The 18,411-nt window shown below is 35.7% G+C and overlaps 1 protein-coding gene and 1 long non-coding RNA gene across 2 annotated transcripts in view; both read left to right on the forward strand.

Moving 5' to 3' along the window:
• MTREX (Mtr4 exosome RNA helicase) overlaps window positions 1-18,411 on the forward strand; it is a 117,591-nt gene that overhangs the window by 91,277 nt on the left and 7,903 nt on the right. The window contains exons 21-25 of the mRNA NM_015360.5: window positions 968-1,156; window positions 6,160-6,323; window positions 11,259-11,364; window positions 14,917-14,973; window positions 16,705-16,867. Coding sequence (NP_056175.3) covers window positions 968-1,156; window positions 6,160-6,323; window positions 11,259-11,364; window positions 14,917-14,973; window positions 16,705-16,867 — 679 coding nt within the window. The remainder of the gene's footprint in view (window positions 1-967; window positions 1,157-6,159; window positions 6,324-11,258; window positions 11,365-14,916; window positions 14,974-16,704; window positions 16,868-18,411) is intronic.
• LOC124900977 (uncharacterized) lies at window positions 5,766-6,119 on the forward strand. Its single transcript, XR_007058772.1, has 2 exons — window positions 5,766-5,809; window positions 5,957-6,119. It is a non-coding gene; the product is annotated as an uncharacterized LOC124900977 (long non-coding RNA).

The following is an 18,411-nucleotide window of genomic DNA, read 5'->3' on the forward strand; positions in this document are numbered from 1 at the left end:
TTTACATTTGTTTGTCACTCTTAATGTGTTTCTCCTCCCCAATTCCCAGTTCCTAACTAGCCAAATCCTACCTTATCTTTAAGGCTTATCCAAGACCCTGAAAGTTTCTCAGTAGGATACCAGCCTACAGTGAGCTGTTTCTTCTCTGTATGAATATGTCTATTGCATTTAACCATTAATCATGTTTTTCTTTAAGCTAAAGGTCTCAGGACCTTTTATTTTTTATTTTTTTATTTTTTTGAGACGGAGTCTTGCTCTGTCGCTCAAGCCAGAGTGCAGTGGCGCAATCTCGGCTCACCGCAAGCTCCACCTCCCGGGTTCACGCCATTCTCTTGCCTCAGCCTCCCTAGTAGCTGGGACTACAGGCGCCCACCACCACGCCTGGCTAATTTTTTGTATTTTTAGTAGAGACGGGGTTTCACCGTGTTAGCCAGGATGGTCTCGATCTCCTGACCTTGTGATCCGCCCACCTCGGCCTCCCAAAGTGCTGGGATTACAGGCGTGAGCCACCGCGCCTGGCCCTCAGGACTTTTTAAAAAGTCTATACTTTACAAGTCAGTAGTGCCCTCCCTAGGCATCAACACCAAGGAAATAATCTGAAAACAGTTTAAACATAGATGCTCAATACAAGATTACTTTTGATGGCAAGAAGTTACAACAATGTAAATATACAATAATGAATTTAGCAATAAGTTGTGCCACGTTCAGGACTATGATCAAATTGTGACTTGTAGATTTATTAACAAATCATAATACATCTGTAAATCATAGTATAGCGTTGAAAAAGAGTTTTCAAAAATAAATGCAATGGAAAAATGCCCTATAATTTAAATTGGCAAAAGACAAAATTATATATGTAGTATACTTTTTATGTCCATGTGCATAGAAAAAAAGGGAAACACTGATTTGGTTTGGTCTTACTAATTTTGACTATAAGATGAAAATGAATTTTACATATTTTTTTCAGGAAGTTCAGAAACGTTTTCCTGACGGCATCCCCTTATTAGACCCTATTGATGATATGGGCATTCAAGATCAAGGGCTGAAAAAAGTCATTCAGAAAGTAGAAGCTTTTGAGCATCGAATGTATTCTCATCCACTTCACAATGATCCAAATTTGGAAACTGTGTATACGCTTTGTGAAAAAAAAGCACAGGTATGGCAGAAATTTGGTTTTTATAGTAGAATTCTATATGTTTCACTGAATAAATATGTGTTTGTCATTTTCTTATCCTGTTGGTTTAATTGGCTAAAACAGGAAAATGTGAGCTATCTTTTAAATAAACTGTCAGCTCTGAACCTGTCAGCTCTCATCAGCAAGACAAGATAAAGTTCATTTTGCTATAGTTTGATATTTCACATAGGATGTTCTGTTTTTTCTTCTTTTTTAAATTTGAGATATAATTTACACAGCATAGCATTCACCCTTTTAAAATGTCCAACTCACTGGTTTTTAGTGTATTCACAGATACTTGCAACCATCACCACTATGTAACTTCAGAACATTCTTCTCACCCTCTGAAGGAACTTTATACCCATTAGCAGCCACTCTCTGTTTCTCCCATCCTCCAGCCCTTGGCAATCACAAATCTTTCTATCTGTATGGTTTTGCCTATTCTGGATATTTCTTATAAATAGAATCATGTAATATATGATGTTTGTGTCTGCTGTCTTTCAGTTAGCATGTCTTCAGGGTTTATGCCTGTCATAGCATAAATCAGTACTTCATTCCTTTTAAGGCCAAATCTTGTGTGTGTGCGTGCGTCCGTGCATGCGTGTGTGTGTGTGAGACAGAGTCCTGCTCCGTCACCCAGGCTTCAGTCCAGTGGCATGATTATGGCTCACTGCAACCTCTGCCTCCCGGGTTCAAGTGATTCTTCTGCCTCAGCCTCCCTAGTAGCTGGGATTACAGGCACGCACCACCATGCCCAGCTAATTTTTGTATTTTTATTAGAGACGGGGTTTCGCCATGTTGGCCAGGCTGGTCTTGAACTCCTGACCTCATATTATCCACTTGCCTCAGCCTCCCAAAGTGCCGGGATTACAGGCATGAGCCACCGCACCTGGCCTGGCTAAATTATATTTTGTTATGTGGATATGCCATATTTTGTTTACCCATTCATCAGTTGATGGACAGGACATTTGTTTTTTTCTAACTTTTTGGCTCTGATGAATAATGCTGCTGTGAACATTTGTATACAAGTTTTTGTATGGATGTTTTGAGTTCTCTTGAGTGGAATTAGGTAGGATTGATGGATCATATGGTAACTCTATATTTACCTTTATTCTCAGAAACTACCAGACTGTTTCCAAAATGGCTACACCACTTTATGTTCTCACTAGCAATTTGCAAGATAACTGCTTTCTCTACATCTTCGCCAGCATGTGTTATTGTCTGTGGTTTTTGCTGTAGCCATCTTAATAGCGTCAAATGTTAGTAGTTCAGCTTTTTAGCATAATTAGCTGTAATATCTAACCAGTAAAACCATTATTATAAGCATTCTGTATAGCAAATTTAGAAAAAGCTTTTTGACGTGAACACAATCCTTTCCACTACCTACTTTTTTTCAACTGGAATGTATTATACTATACAAATCTCCTTTCCTCCATGAAACTTACAACTCCTTGCTGTTGTACTTTTTCAACTTTTATCACATACCACTTTTATCAATACATTTGTCTTTGTGTCTCACAAACTAGATTTTAAGCTCCTTAGAGTCAGATGTTTCATTTTAACTTTACATTTTCTCATAATGGTCTGTCTTTATAAAGTAAATGCCCAGTGTTTATTGGATAAATACATGAGTAGAAACTCCTTTAATAGAGTAATGTGTTCAGTTCATAGTTTTAAAGCACTCTCCCTTCTAGCTTTTTGTGAACTTACATCATATGGTGCTGTAGCATATACACAATACTGGCTGCATGCTCAGTGAACACATCTATGCTCTGACCCACCTTCAAGTGCTGCTAGGCAGGAAGCTTGCCAGGTACTTCTCAAGATGAGGAAACTGGGACACAACAAACTTTCATTACTTACACAGATATCCAGTTGTGATTCTCACCTGTTCATCTCTTAACCAGGACCATTGCAGCAGCTCTCTCCCTGCTGTCAGTCCCTCCATGGCCACCAGGGTCGGCCTTATGTTTTCACAACACAAGAACAGGTAGACTTGAGCGTGATTGAATGATTGGAAAGCATCCTTGGAGGTGGTTTGAAGGCATTATCTGAGCTGCTCAAATATACTGAAAAAGACCTTGTCTGGCTGAAGGGACTGGCTAAATAAAGTTGTTATGGAGACTCTGCAATAACATGTAAGAAAGCTCATGCATAAGCATAACATGAAAAAAGGATCTGAAATTGAAGTGGACTATGATTACTATTTAGCAAAAATATAAAATACACCAGAAAAGACTGAAAGGAAAACTTTAAGTGGTTGTGTTACAGCAATAAGATTATAGTGGTCTTTTTTTTTTCTTTTCCTGCCCCCTCCCCATCATTGTCTATAATGTGCTTATATGTATATAAGCACATGATATATAAATATAAGCACATTATATGTGTGTGTGTGTGTGTGTATGTGTATGTATGTGTGTGTGTGTGTGTGTGTATATATATAATTTCTTTTTTTTTTAATGGAAGAAAAATACAGCCTGGGCACAGTGGCTTACTCCTGTAATCCCAACACTTTGGGAGGCCAAGGCGGGAAGATCACTTGAAGCCCAGAAGTTTGAGACCACCCTGGACAAGATGATGAGACCCCCATCACTGCAAAAAAATTTTAAAAATTAGCCAGGCATGGTAGCATGCACCTGTCATCCCAGGTACTCAGGAGGCTGAGGTAGGAAGGTCACTTAAGCCAAGGAGGTTGAGGCTACAGTGAGCCATGGTTGCACGACTGTACTCCAGCCTGGGTGACAGAGTGAGACCCTATCTCTTTAAAAAAAAACAAAAACAAAAAAAAAGTGTACATGTGCAGTCCAGACATTTTTTTTCCCAATATTTTTGATCCACAGTTGGTTCAATCCATGGATGTGGAACCCACGGATATGTAGGGCCAACTGTATATCTGTGTTCTTTTATAAATATGTTGGGAAAGATCTTGTACAGCATTGTCTGGTGTCAGCCACATTTAAATTTTTTAGTAGCCACATTTTAAAAAAGAAAGAAAAAACCAGTGGCATTAACTTCAGTAATATTTTTATTTAACCCATTATATCTAAAATATTTCACGTATTTTTATATTCAAAATACAAACATTACTCAAGAAAAAATGTCTTAAATATTGGACTCTCTTCTACCTTCTAAGCTTTATAAGCCTCACAGTTATTAGCACGATGCTTTGCTCTGCTCACATAGGCATCCTCAGTCACTTCAGTCAAAGAAACCCTAAAAAACAATGGTTTGTTCCTTTTACTCTGGTAGGCCTGATAAGTCATGCTAGGTAGCATAGCATTCATTGTCTAGCTTGGAAAGCATTGCTTCCTATGACATGGCATTGTGACTACACATCTGTTCATAGAAATATAAATAATCACTAAGAGCTTGCATCTAGGGTCTGATACCCTGGGTTTGAACCCCATCTTTATCACTCAGTAGCCCTGTTCACAGCAATATAAATAATTGAAAAGAGCTTGGATTCTAGGGTCTGCTAGCCTGGCTTTGAACTCCATCTTTATCACTCAGTAGCTCTGTATTCTTGACCAATTTACTTAGTAATCTCTCCGTGCCTCAGTTTTCTCATCTGTAAAATGCAGATTTAATATTAGTTCCCTACCTTTTAGGATTGCTATAAGAATGAAATAATGTAAAGCACTAGAAATAGAGGACATTGGTAGTCTCTGAATAAATATCAGTTGCTGATCACCTTCATAATTTTTCCTCCTTAGTAGAAGTTTAATAAACAGTCTAAAAAATTCCATTATCTTCGGATTTCAACTTATCAAAACTTTTCTGTCGGTGTTTTTCTGAACCACCACTTCAGGATACCATTGTTTTTTGTTCTTGTACTACTGTATGCTTGTCATAGTCAGAAAATATGTAATATTTACTGATTAACTAAATTTTAAAACTTATCTACTCTAAAGGATGACATCAAGGTGATACATTTTCATTTTAAGGTTTCATTTATGTTTTGAATAAAGGCCTATTCTCTTTGCTAAAACCATTTCCAGCCTAGGCAAATTCGTGATTTAACTTAAGGGCAAAGAGAAGGAATAGTTTTCAGGACATCATGGGGGAAATATAGATAGTCAAGAGAAAAGATTTCTGTACCCTCATTTTTCTTTCCCTGTTCTCTAAGCTACCCCCTGATGCCCTAAGGATGAAAAGCTAGAGCTGCTGGGATTGGTACTTTTGGACCGTGATTAATTGTCTAGTGAATCCTGTCTTGGGAGAGCCTATCCTAAATTCACCACTGACTTTTTCTACTCTTACAGCCTACCTTGTCTAGCTCACAATATCCAGCTCACTCTCCTCCTTCTAGCCTTCCTCCTTACCTCTCTCCATTTAAGCAAGAGCTGTGCTCTGTTCTCTTTTTTTTTTTTCTTTTTTTTTTTTAAGACGGAATCTCGCTTTCTTGCCAGGCTGGAGTGCAGTGGCATCATCACGGCTCAGTGCAACCTCTACCTCCCGGGTTAAAGCAATTCTCCTGCCTCAGCCTCCTGAGTAGCTGGGACTACAGGCATGCGCCCGCCACCATGCCCAGCTGATTTTTTGTATGTGTGTTTTTAGTACAGACGGAGTTTCACCATGTTGGCCAGGAACCTCGTGATCCACCCACCTCAGCCTCCCAAAGTGCTGGGATTACAGGTGTGAGCCATTGCGCCCGGCCTCTGTTCTCTGTCTCAAGCTTTTTACACTTTCTAACATCTGCTTGCTCTGCCTCAAATTTTTCAAATGGACATTTTGTATTTTCCATGTACTTAATATTTTAGGTAGTATTTAATAACTTTACAGATACATCATTACTCTTGTGTAATGTTCCGGGAATGTATCTAAGAAGCTCCAGTTTCCCCAGTCTCCCCAGCACTGAAGCTTTAACCCAGAAGTATACTGTAAGATGTTCTTTAAAAATATTTTTTGTTTGATTTCATGAATAAATCTCCTTGTACATTGTTCACTTTATTATTGAACTTTCTTTATACTTTCATGTGCTTTAGATTGCAATAGATATTAAATCTGCAAAGCGAGAACTGAAGAAAGCAAGAACAGTCCTACAAATGGATGAACTCAAATGTCGCAAACGTGTTTTAAGAAGGTTGGGATTTGCTACTTCTTCTGATGTAATAGAGATGAAAGGACGAGTGGCTTGTGAGATAAGCAGGTAAAATCTGGTTATTGTTCTAGAAAGTTCATTTTTTTTTTCATTTTTAATTTTAATTTTTGTTTATTTTTTTTGAGATGGAGTCTCACTGTTGCCCAGGCTGGAGTGCACTGGCGCAATCTCAGCTCACTGCAACTCCGCCTCGCAGTTTTAAGTGATTTTAAAAATAACCATTATCTTTAGGAAAAAAGAGCTTTCTTAAAAATATAAAGTTTGTACAATATCTTCCACACTAAATACAGTTTTGAACCATGAAATTGAGAAATTAGAAAAATCTTAGATCTCAGTAATTAACACAAGCGCTCCTAGCATTTGTATGTATTTCCTTTGACTTTTTTTAATGCCTTGTGGGATTTTTACATAATCTTAGCTTATATATAATTTTGTATACTTTTTAAAAATTATTAACATTTTCCCACCTTGAAACTTAGCCTAGTAACCATTATCTTGTTACGTGCATAGCAAATTGTAATGAGATTTTGGGCTAATAATAGGATTTTACAACAGAACTTATTATAAGCCACAGATTAAAACTGGTTATATTATTTTCTGTTTCAGTAATCTTTTGTCACAAATGACCTCAAAACTAAATTATTTACAACATCAACAGTGACTTTATCCTCTTATTGTTTTTATGGGTCAGAAATTCAGGAAGAGCTCATTTGGATGGTTCTGGCTCTGTCCCCCAGGATTGCCGTCAGACAGGTGGTTAAGCTGAAACAGTAGGAGTCCGGAGCGGCTGGGGAATGTTAGGACCTCTCTCTCTCTGTTAGAGCTTCTCCATGTGGTCTCTCCATGTGGGCTGGTTTGGGCTTCTTCACAGTATGGCAGCAGCCTCAGGATGCTTACATGGTAGCTGAAGGCTCCAGTGTGAGTCTTCTAGCTGGCTAAGGTTGCCTTTTCTGACCTAGCTTTACCTTTTGTAACCTAGCTTTGTTATCATACACCATCATTTCCACCACATTCTCTTGATTACAGGTGAGTCATAAACCCTCCTGGATTCAAGTGGGGGATAATTAGATTCCAACTCTTGATGGGGAAGTGGCTATTGTTCAGTATGGCTTTCTGTGATAATTGGATTGTTCTGTGTCTACACTGTTCAGTATAGTAGCCACTATTTAGCATTTGATGTGTGCTTAGACAAAGGAACTGAATTTTATAATTTATATCATTTTAATTGAAATTGAAATTTCCACGTATGCACATGGCAGTCTTTATAGATCAGTGCAATTCTAGAAGAATGTGGTATAGGAGATGCTGTTGTGGCCATCTTTAGAAAATACAATTTATGATACTGTTCTAAAAAATGTGTTCGTTATTTCCCACCACGAGGAATGTCTCCTGCCTTAGGAGCCAGCTTGCCTCTGTCCTCCTTAACTGGAAAGTCATAAACTGGTAGCTCAAGCAATATCCAGTCTGAAGATATATCTTGTTTTGTCCATATAGTGATGATCATAATTCTCAGTGAATATATAAAAGACACTTTTGAAACAGTTTTTTATGTACTCAGCATGGCCAGGATGGACAGGACTAGAGAATTACAGGCCTTGTAAATGATTTCAGACTTTCTTGGTAAAAATGTAATTATATCGTTCATCTGTCCAGATGTTACAGACTCAGATGTCTTCATAGAACCAGGAGACTGTGGTGAACAGGACAACTCTTAGCCACCAAAAGGGGGCAGTGACTACCCAGCCCTAGTTAGTTGTTATCACAGGATAATGTGCTATTGGATTTTAATTAATAACATATCCAGGATTAAATCTAAACTGCAGTACTGGTCTACTGATTTATATGCTAATGTTATTGGGATTATTTCCTTCTAATAATTACCTGTTTTACAATTAATATAGAAATTAATTTCCTTTAGATATCTACAACTAGATTTTGTGTTGAAAGAATGGAAATTGATTTTATTCCAAGATACATTTTTCATTTATAGTAATAACAATATTATATCAAAGTTTGTTAACTTTCCCCCAAATTTGCAAAAACTGGGGCATCATCCTAGACTCCTTCTCTCACCCATTTTGCCTTTTTAAACATTGCCACTGGCTAATGTGTATCCCTCATTATTTTTGGCCTCAATTACTGCAGTTGCCCTCCTGATTATTCGTTGCCTCCCTTCTTGAGTTTTCAAAACCCAAAGCACAAATCTGGTATGTCGTTCCTCTTTCCTTCTTGAGATGGGATTTTGCTCTGTTGCCCAGGCTGGGGTGCAGTGGTGCAATCTCGGCTCACCGCAGCCTCAACTTGCCAGGCTCAAGTGATCTTCCTGCCTCAGTCTCCCAAGAACCTGGGACTGTAAGTGTGTGCCATCAAGCCTGGCTAATTTCTTTTTTAAGTTTCTGTAGAGATAGGGTCTTGCTATGTTGCCCAGGCTGGTCTTGAACTCCTGTAATTAAGCAGTCCGCCCACCTTACCACCCAAATTGCTGGGATTACAGGTGTGAGCCACTTCACCCAGCACCCAGCCCCTTTGTGCCATTCTATTTGGTAAAAGTCCCTCAGTGATTCCTTATTGCTTTTAGAATAGATTCCATAATTTAGTATATTGTTACTCTCCCTCTCCAGCAGTCTGTTGCCACACCCCACACATGCTTTTCCTTTTGCTTCATATGACCTTTCACCCCCACCCCATATCCTGCGATTCTTGCATATTTTTGCAAAGAACTTCGAAACTTGCTCTGAACTTCTTCAATCTGGTTTTAGGCTCCTCACCTTTTTTTCCTCATAACACTTGTATAAATCAATTATTAGAGCACTCTGTTAAACCACTGTTCTGTGATTATCACCTTACTTGTCTGCCCCCAATGTTAGACTGTAGCTTCTTGAAATAGTCTTTCCTCGTTTGTATTGTTGCACTCTTTGCTTGACTTAACTCTTAAGCTTAACACTAGAGACCCAAATTTAGTTTTTGACTTTTATTTATAAATATTTTAACTGTTAGTAAAGATTATAATAGTTCATGGCTTTATTCTTTTTTAAAGACTTTGCAAAAAATAAAGGCAAAGTTTACTTTTTTAATAATACAGTACAGTTATTGTATGGGTCAATTGAACCCTGATTATAGAAGTCTAGAAACATCATCTTTGTAGTGTTTCTTTTTTAGCTTGAATTGAACACAGTTGCAAATTCAGAATTTTTCATTTTCCACCCAAGAAGAAAAATAAGTGAAGATATTTTGCAGTTATTACTCAAATCAGAAGATAAACACAAAGGGACAAAAAGCACTGTAGTCAAAGTGATAATGGTGAGATTGATTATATAAGCAAAGTCTCAGACCCTAAGTAAATTCTCAGACATAATAACTAGTGCATGAACAATATTTTTATTTATTTATTTATTTATTTATTTATTTATTTATTTATTTATTTATTTTGAGACAAGGTCTAGCTCTGTCACCCAGGCTGGAATGCAGTGGCAAGATCATGGCTCAGTGCAGTCTTGACCTCCTGGGCTTAAGTGATCCTCCCACCTCAGCCTCCTGAGTAGCTGGGACTACAGGCGTGTGCCACCACGCTCAGCTTATTTTTGTATTGCTTTGTAGAGACAGGGTTTTGCCATGTTGCTAGGCTAGTCTTGAACTCCTGGGCTCAAGAGATCTACCTGTTTCAGCTTCCCAAATGAGCCAGGAGCCACTGTGCTCTGCTGAACAATATATTTCTAGGGATATATATATATATGAGATTATTATTCATGTAATCATTCAACAGAAAGGGCCTAGTTATGTAACGTCTATGATAAGAACCTGGACCATCTCATTTTGCTAAAAGGACTTGTAATAATAGTCTTTCATCTTTTATTATTTGTGCACCAAAGTTTCCTTATATGGTCCACAAGTGGTCAAATACACAGTTGTGTATATAAGGAAATTGGAAAGAGATGATGAAGAAATTTTTTAAAACCTGTTGAATTGATCATTCTAATCTTTGTAATAATAAATATATTGTCCTTATAAGTCTGTATATGAAAATGTTTCACAATTATGGAGCAAAGAAGATGACCTTCCTCTCAACAAAATCAAGTTGTCAGTTTAAAAAACTGTATTTTGATGATGCAAAAGAGGAATCAAAAGTAATAAGCTAGAACTTAAAAGAGATGTAAATCTGGACTTGTACATTTTGACAGTGCAAGTGCAAGAAGAAACAGACGTAGTGATGAGCTAGTACCTACCTGTTAGAGATGTACTTGAAATCTAGAATTGTATTTCCTAGATGGATATTTTTCAGATTTGTGGATGACAATTGGTGAGCAGCAGTTTGTTGCATTTAAAGGCTCTTGCCCATCTTGGTTATATACACTTTCAGCCTTTGGAAAATATGAATTAAAATGTGAGTCTTCTGGCCAGGTGTAGTGTCTCACACCTGTAATCCCAGCATTTGGGGAGACCGAGGTGGGAGGACTACTTGAGCTCAGGAGTTCTAGACCAGCCTGGACAACATAGCAAGACCCCATCTCTACTATAATATAAAAACTTTAAAAAATTAAAACATAAAAATAAAAAAATGTGGTTCTTCTTATGAGTACATTCTAATTAAGATTTCTAGTAAAATTGTTTTTCATTATCTTTATTCTACAGATTATTTGTAAAATAACTGAAAAATAATTAAAAGAGTCCTTTGGCCCTAGAAAATAAATGACAGTGATGATTTTTCCTAGCATACTAAAGGTTAAGAAATTGTTCTTATTTCACGAATGTGTGCATTTTGATATTTGGAATCTTTATGTGAAATCCCCATTTTACATTGATTATATAATATATTGGTAATTATTAAAGATCTACTATGTCCTTAAATAAATCATTGTCATTCCTCATTGATTACTCCTTAAGGTCAAATAATATATTTTATTAAAAACTACACGTTAAGGGCATATGTGTGTGCATGTGTGTCTTTATATTCTGACATTTTATTCTTTTGTTTTGCCATTGTAGTGCTGATGAGCTCCTTCTAACTGAGATGATGTTTAATGGCCTTTTCAATGACCTTTCTGCAGAACAGGCAACAGCATTATTAAGCTGCTTTGTGTTTCAAGAGAATGTAAGTTAATTGATTCAGCACATCTTATTTATTAATTCACACATCATGTAGTTAATAGTGTTATGGCTATATTATCAAATATTACTAATATTTACATATTATAAGGTAATGTTAATTGGAAATCACAGCAACTTTAACACAAATGTACTAAGAAAATTAAATGATTAAATACGTATTATTAGAAAGGAGAATAAAATAAGATTTGTCAACAATCACCATTAATTAGATTTTAAGTTTTAAATTTGTTCTGTAACCCAATTCATTGAACATTTGGCCAAGTCCTAGACAGTCCTAGAAATAAAAAGATGAGTGAGAAGAAAACTAGGAAAGTCTGATAAAAATAAAAGGGGGAAGTGAGGTTGAATTAACTCTCCTCCCCGGTGTTGAAGAATAATGACGAAGCAGTCCATCCTGCTAGGAACTGAAACATTAGTTTTCATGGGCACGGTTTGAGGTAGTGAATATAAGATCCTTGTTGGTTTGGCAGCAGTTTTTTTCATATGAGTAATTAGTTCACTTTCAACAGTTCTTAAGAAATCAAAAAATGAAGTGCTGGGTGGAACACATAAGAACACTAATTATCCTTGTACTGCATTCCAAAAACCAGTTTGATTCATTTTTAAAAGTAAGATATATTGTTTTGCATTTCAAATTTAAGACTTTATTTATTGTAGATGAAGTGGATAGAATGAGAATAAGACAAGGACATCTGCCTTCTAAAAATAATTTAATATTCTAAATTTTTGGAGGACCTTTTACTATACATACTTAGTTTAACTTTTAAGTAAATTGTGTAGAACAAATTGTTTAGTTTTTTTTTAAGTTCCACAGCTCTTAAATCTTGGGGCAAGATGTCCGTATATGCAGTTAAGATGTATTCAGTGAAACCACACTTAATTGGTCTGTTTACCTGTTAACTGTTTCCATATTTATTAATCAGATCAAATATATTACTTCTTGAAGTAGATGGGTACTTTTCTCAGGTCCCTGATTACTGATTAGAATCACAGCTGTTAGTGGCAATGATAACAAATAGGACAATAATCCAAAAACAGTTTATGCTTTCCTGGGATTGCCTACCATGCATCTATGAAATATGCATACAAAAGGAATGCATTACTTTACAAAATATTGTGTTTGTTTTTCCTTAGGCTCAAAATTTTATTATATCAATTTCCAAGATAAAGATAATTAAGAACATTTGTCAAACTTACTTGGAATAGGAAGGTTCAGAGATGTAGGTTTGTAAATAGTTTGGGGATAAGTGGTCTTCCACCCATGTCAAATTTTGTCTTACTTTTCATTATTTGCATGTTCTTGTTGTTTTATATTTTGGCACTATTACAATAGTTCCTTTTTCTGAGAAGCCAATTATATTCCCTCTTCAAAGGAGTTGGTTAAGCTAAACCACAGCTCTTAAATCTTGGGGCAAGATGTCAATATATACAGTTAAGATTTATTCAGTGAAACCACACTTTTTTATATACAGTGTCATCAATTCTTGTGGTGGCGCCTTTTAACATTGAGATGGAAGATTGTACTGATTGTCATGTGGATTTTTCTTGATGCTTTTAACAGAATGTTTTCTGCCAAAAAGAACATTGTCTTCTAGTAAATATAGTAAAATACTTGTTATAAGTAAGATGAAATTTGCTTGATATAATAACTTCTATTTTAAAATGTATTTATAAAACTGTCTCTACATTTTAAAAATAATATTTAAAAGGTTATGTAAATCTTTATAATATAAAGATCAAGTGCATACAAAAATTTATTAAGCACCCAATGTGGGCAGTGTACAGGTCTAAGCACCAGAGATGCAGCAGAAATGTTTGCTTTCCTGATACTTACATGTTAGTGGATGAAGATAAAGAAATACAGTACACATACATTCTGTCAAATAGGGGTGAAGGTTTTTGGAGAAAAGTGAGAAGAATCAAAGATCACTGGGGAGATGGTGTTACTATTTTAAATAAGATGATTAGAAAAGGCCTCACTAATGAAGTGAAACTTATATTGAGGCCTATAGGAGAGATGAGGGAACAAACTGTACATACCTGGTGGGAGAACATTGTTAAAATCACAATTAACCTCCTCACATCAGGACTGGTGCCTTCCACCTATAGTGAATAGCAGAGAGGAATGTGATGAGTAGCTGTTGACCATGAATAGACATAATATCAAAGACATTTCGCAGTCTTGGGTTCTTTATTAAACTGAGATGTTAAGGTCATTCTGGCTATTTTGCTTTTTTGCCATTCATCAATAATTTTTGGTTTTAGCAGCAATAATATGGAATCTGGTTCTTGATTTATTATACATATATACATGTTGCAAATCAAAATCAAGTCCTTTATAAGTACTGGTGCTTAAAATAAAGGCAGATATGTCGCAACTAGCCTACAATTGCTTTAAAAAAAAAAAATTAGCGATCGGGCACAGTGGCTCATGCCTGTAATCCCAGCACTTTAGGAGGCTGAGGCGGGCAGATCATGAGGTCAGGAGTCGACACCAGTCTGACCAACATGGTGAAACCCCGTCTCTACTAAAAATACAAAAATTAGCTGGGCGTGGTGGCACTCCTGTAATCCCAGCTACTCAGGAGGCTGAGGCAGGGGAATCGCTTGAACCCGGGAGGTGGAGGTTGCAGTGAGCCGAGATTGCACCATTGCACTCCAGCTGGGCAACAGAGCGAGACTCTGTCTCAAAAAAAAAAAAAAAAATAGCCATAATTACTTTAATTAAACCCTGTCTCATACATACATACATATCATTCTTATAGTAATTTTATTTTTGTACAGTACCTTTGTCAAAAATTTCTTCACAAATAATGTCTGTTATTCTCATCATAAGCCTACTCATTTTGAGGATCTGGTTTTATTTTTCTTTGACAGGGCAGAAAACCAGTACACAGAATTTAAGCAGCTTGTCCAACTTAATTTGGCTACTTAGTGTACACCTGAAACTCCATTATCTAATTCAGAAATTGACAGAATTTTCAGCTGTGGGAAAGCAATACTAAGAATACTGAAACTCAGATTAAACTTTTAGCTGTCTTATACTTTGTTAGAACATCTGGGTAAAATAAAAATTAGGGACACTATTTTTAACGTACTTTATCCTGAGTTTTCAGTTTCAAACTTTTCAGTTTCTACAGATTGAAAGTTGCCTAGAAACTAAAACTGTTTCAAAGTTAAACTATGATAAAACCCTTTAATGTTGATGTAACTAAACTACTATGTATGTTTACAATATTTACCCTCCCTCAGTTCCATATGTAATCACAAAAAGGAGCTAGTTAGCACACTTTGCAAATTTAGCGGTGTATTTTCCTCTGAAATGTAATAACAGAATATTATAATTTGGGATGAGAGGAATAGTGATTTTGCCTGTGTAAACTGAATTGATTAGAAACTCTAAATGCTGATGACTAAGGTCTTATAATTTGATATGTGACTATCTTACAAGCTTTAATTTGTTAAAACGGGTAGTGTGAAAAACCAGTAACTTTAAACGTGGGTTTTTATATCTTGTTTTCCTTTTCTTTTATAGTCTAGTGAGATGCCCAAATTAACAGAACAATTAGCAGGACCACTTCGTCAAATGCAGGTAAGGTTTTTTTTTTTTTTTTTTGAACTACATATTTTATGAATAGTAGATTGTAAAATAAACATTTTTGATAATCTAATCATAGTAGTTTATCATTTCACAGAGATAACCTATAAGGATTAAATGTTACTTGATGTCAGTCATGTAATTTAATGTTACTCTGATAACATCTCTTGTGATTTTTACTTTAATAATTAAACAGTATTTCTTCCCATTATTGTAATGAACTGTATAGCATTGTTGTGAACAGAGATTAAAAGCTTCATAATGTAAATAGGCTGTATTGACAGCTCAGTGCATGTGTCATTTTCTTCCTCAGTACTGATAATGGTATCTTGAAGGACTAGGATTTAGTTTATTTTTAATTTTTTGCACATTTTTTCATTCTGGTTTATAACAAAGTTTGGTTGTTTTATTGTTTTGTTTTTGAGACAGAGTCTCGCTCTCTTACCAAGGCCTGGAGTGCAGTGGCGTGATCTGGGCTCACTGCAACCTCCACCTTCCACGTTCAAATGATTCTCCTGCCTCAGCCTCCTGAGTAGCTGGGATTACAGGCACCCGCCACCACACTCAGCTAATTTTTGTATTTTTAGTAGAGACGAGGTTTCACCATGTTGGCCAGGCTGGTCTCGAACTCCTGAGCTCATGTGATCCTCCCACCTCGGCCTCCCAAAGTGCTGGGATTACAGATGTGAGCCACTGTGCCCAGCCTATAACAAAGTTTTAAAATCTGTTTTATCATAAGAAATTGTCTCTGGATCCTCAAAGCCACAGTAGTTTATAGTAATAAATTTCTCTCTTACTATTTTCATAGGATAAGCCGATTTTTTCTGTCTGTTCAACATTAGACAAAGACAAGGAAAGATGAGCTAAGGAATTACAAGAGAGGAACAAAAAAATGTGTCATAAAAGGGCCCCTTCAGAACAACAGACACTGGTGCCTACTTGAGGGAGGAGAGTGGGAGGAAGGAGAGGTTGAGGAAGAAAAAAGAAAAAAAAAACCTGTGGCATATTATACTTAGTACTCAGCTGACTAAATAATCTATATACCAAACCCCTGAGTCACAAGTTTACCTAGATAAGAAACCTGTACATGAACCCCTGAGCCTAAAATAAAAGTTAAAATATTTTTAAAATAATAATTCAAAAAATTCTGATTAAAATTAAAAGGCCAGTTCAGTGGAACATGTAACATGCCTTAAAATCACTAAGAAATTTAAATTTCTAGAACCAGCAAAGTCTTCATAGGCCTAGGAGTTTTTGGCCTTTTAGATTGCCAAGTAAAGAAGAATGAAGTTTCTCAACTTAGAGGAAAACAATATGAAGATATGTACATTTTTAAGCATTGTTGTGGAAAAATGTATTTTGCTCTAGGATTTGTATTTCTCTAAATCTGTTTTGTAATGAAATAATTAGAGATTAGTTAAATGCTGCTCTTGAATAATTTTAATGAAGAGTTCTGTTTCTTTGTTGAAAAGGTATCACTGGCTGAAAAGCATGCTCTTGATACATTTTTCTTAGTTAACTACCTCAACATAATGGGAAAGATTGGCCGTTTAATCACTTAGCAATGGAACAGGCACTGTGCCTACTTAGGAGCAGAATGTCCACATTGCAGACATAATACCTAGGAAGAAAAAGGGACCTCCTGGAATACTGGCTTGGAAACCTAAAGAATAAAGTGATATGGGAGATCATAAGTAAGGAATTTTAACTCTTTTATCTTTAAAGGAATGTGCTAAAAGAATTGCAAAAGTTTCAGCAGAAGCCAAATTGGAAATTGATGAGGAAACTTATCTAAGCTCATTTAAACCTCACTTAATGGATGTAGTATATACCTGGGCAACTGGAGCTACATTTGCCCATATCTGCAAAATGACAGATGTCTTTGAAGGTATGGTTAAATTTTACACATATATATTTACAGTATAAGAAATACAGTTAGGATGGTATTGTTTTAATTAAACAAGTATAATATGTATTTTTAATATTTGGTAACTAAATGAAATCTTCTCCCTATTATATAGATTAAAAAATATTCTCCACAAATTCTTTGTATTATTTAATAAGCATAGTCTGTTCATTAGAAAGTCCTTTAGAAACTATTTTAAACTGTATAATTCTGTGCAGTTGTAATTCTATGAGTTTCTACAGTCACAAGCAGATGACCCTAAGAAGTCATATTTATGTGGGTATTTTTCCTTTTCACTTTTGTTCTCCTGGTGAGCTATATAATTCCACTAAAAATAGCAGAGCTGAAAATGATCAGTCATTGCATATGTAATTGACTTGGCTTTAGTCAGACTGTTATTGCAGCATGAATCAGATTAAATTTAATGAGCAGGATTTTAAGAGACTGAAGAATAATTGTTACTCAACTGAAGAGAAATTTTAAATGAAAAAATTAAGGCAAAAGAAATATAAGGAATAAGTGAATAATAAGAAGCAAAAAAATAAGTAGACTGTTTAAACGAAACCATATTTTAAAATGCTGCATTCAGTAGGAAAAGATTGGTTTGTGTGTTTATAAATGGCCAGTTGTATTTACTGAATGAGATAATTTACATTGAACTTTCCTAAAAATGAAAATAAATGAGTTTGTTCTGTATAGAGATTATAATAAGAACTGCTACTATTGCTTATAGGTTTAGTTTGAGAAAAATTACATGTTTAACATGCCAAATATTATAGGCCTTTCAACTGATATTATTAAAGAAGTAATAGATTACTGATTTTATGAATCAGTTATTTTTATGATGCATAGGTTAAACTTCTCTGCAACAGAATATTAAAAACTTAAACTGAGGGCCTTTACTACATTGAACTTTATGGGTTTTAAGGTTTTTAATGTTAAAGTTTATAGCACATTTTTAAATTATGGTGTTGTATCTTACATATTTTTTCTAAGGTTTATAAACTTCTCAGCCTCCTCTAAATGATCATTTAGTCAAACAGTCCCAAAGCATCCTTTGAATTCTGTATTCTGTTACTGGGAAAGTCATTGCCCAGTAAGTACTATATGCCAAACACTGTGCTAAGAGCTCTGTATAATTTACATGTAATCACCAAATAGCAATTCAGGGTAGATATTATCTCCACTTTGCACAAGGAGACTATGGTAAACAGTTTGGCCAAGGTGATGTGAGGGCACGATGATTTAAACTCTGGTCTCTGTAACTACATGTAAGTTCAGTTAAGCACCATACCACCTTATCCTTAAATTTTGGATCACCTGAAAATTTCTTAAACCCTACACTAGACTATACCATCTCCATCCACAGAAAAGTCATGCTTGGAGTAATACTAAACAGGTCTTAATCCTAGATGATGTTTAGCAACATCTCTAATTAGTTAATGGTGTTTAGCCGAGTCAGTGAGAAGAGGGATGTTGCGTACTCACTGATGAAAATTGCTTAAAACAGGAGCACAGGTTGGTGT

This window comes from Homo sapiens, chromosome 5 (assembly GCF_000001405.40).
Source record: "Homo sapiens chromosome 5, GRCh38.p14 Primary Assembly".
Classification (NCBI taxonomy): Eukaryota; Metazoa; Chordata; class Mammalia; order Primates; family Hominidae; genus Homo; species Homo sapiens.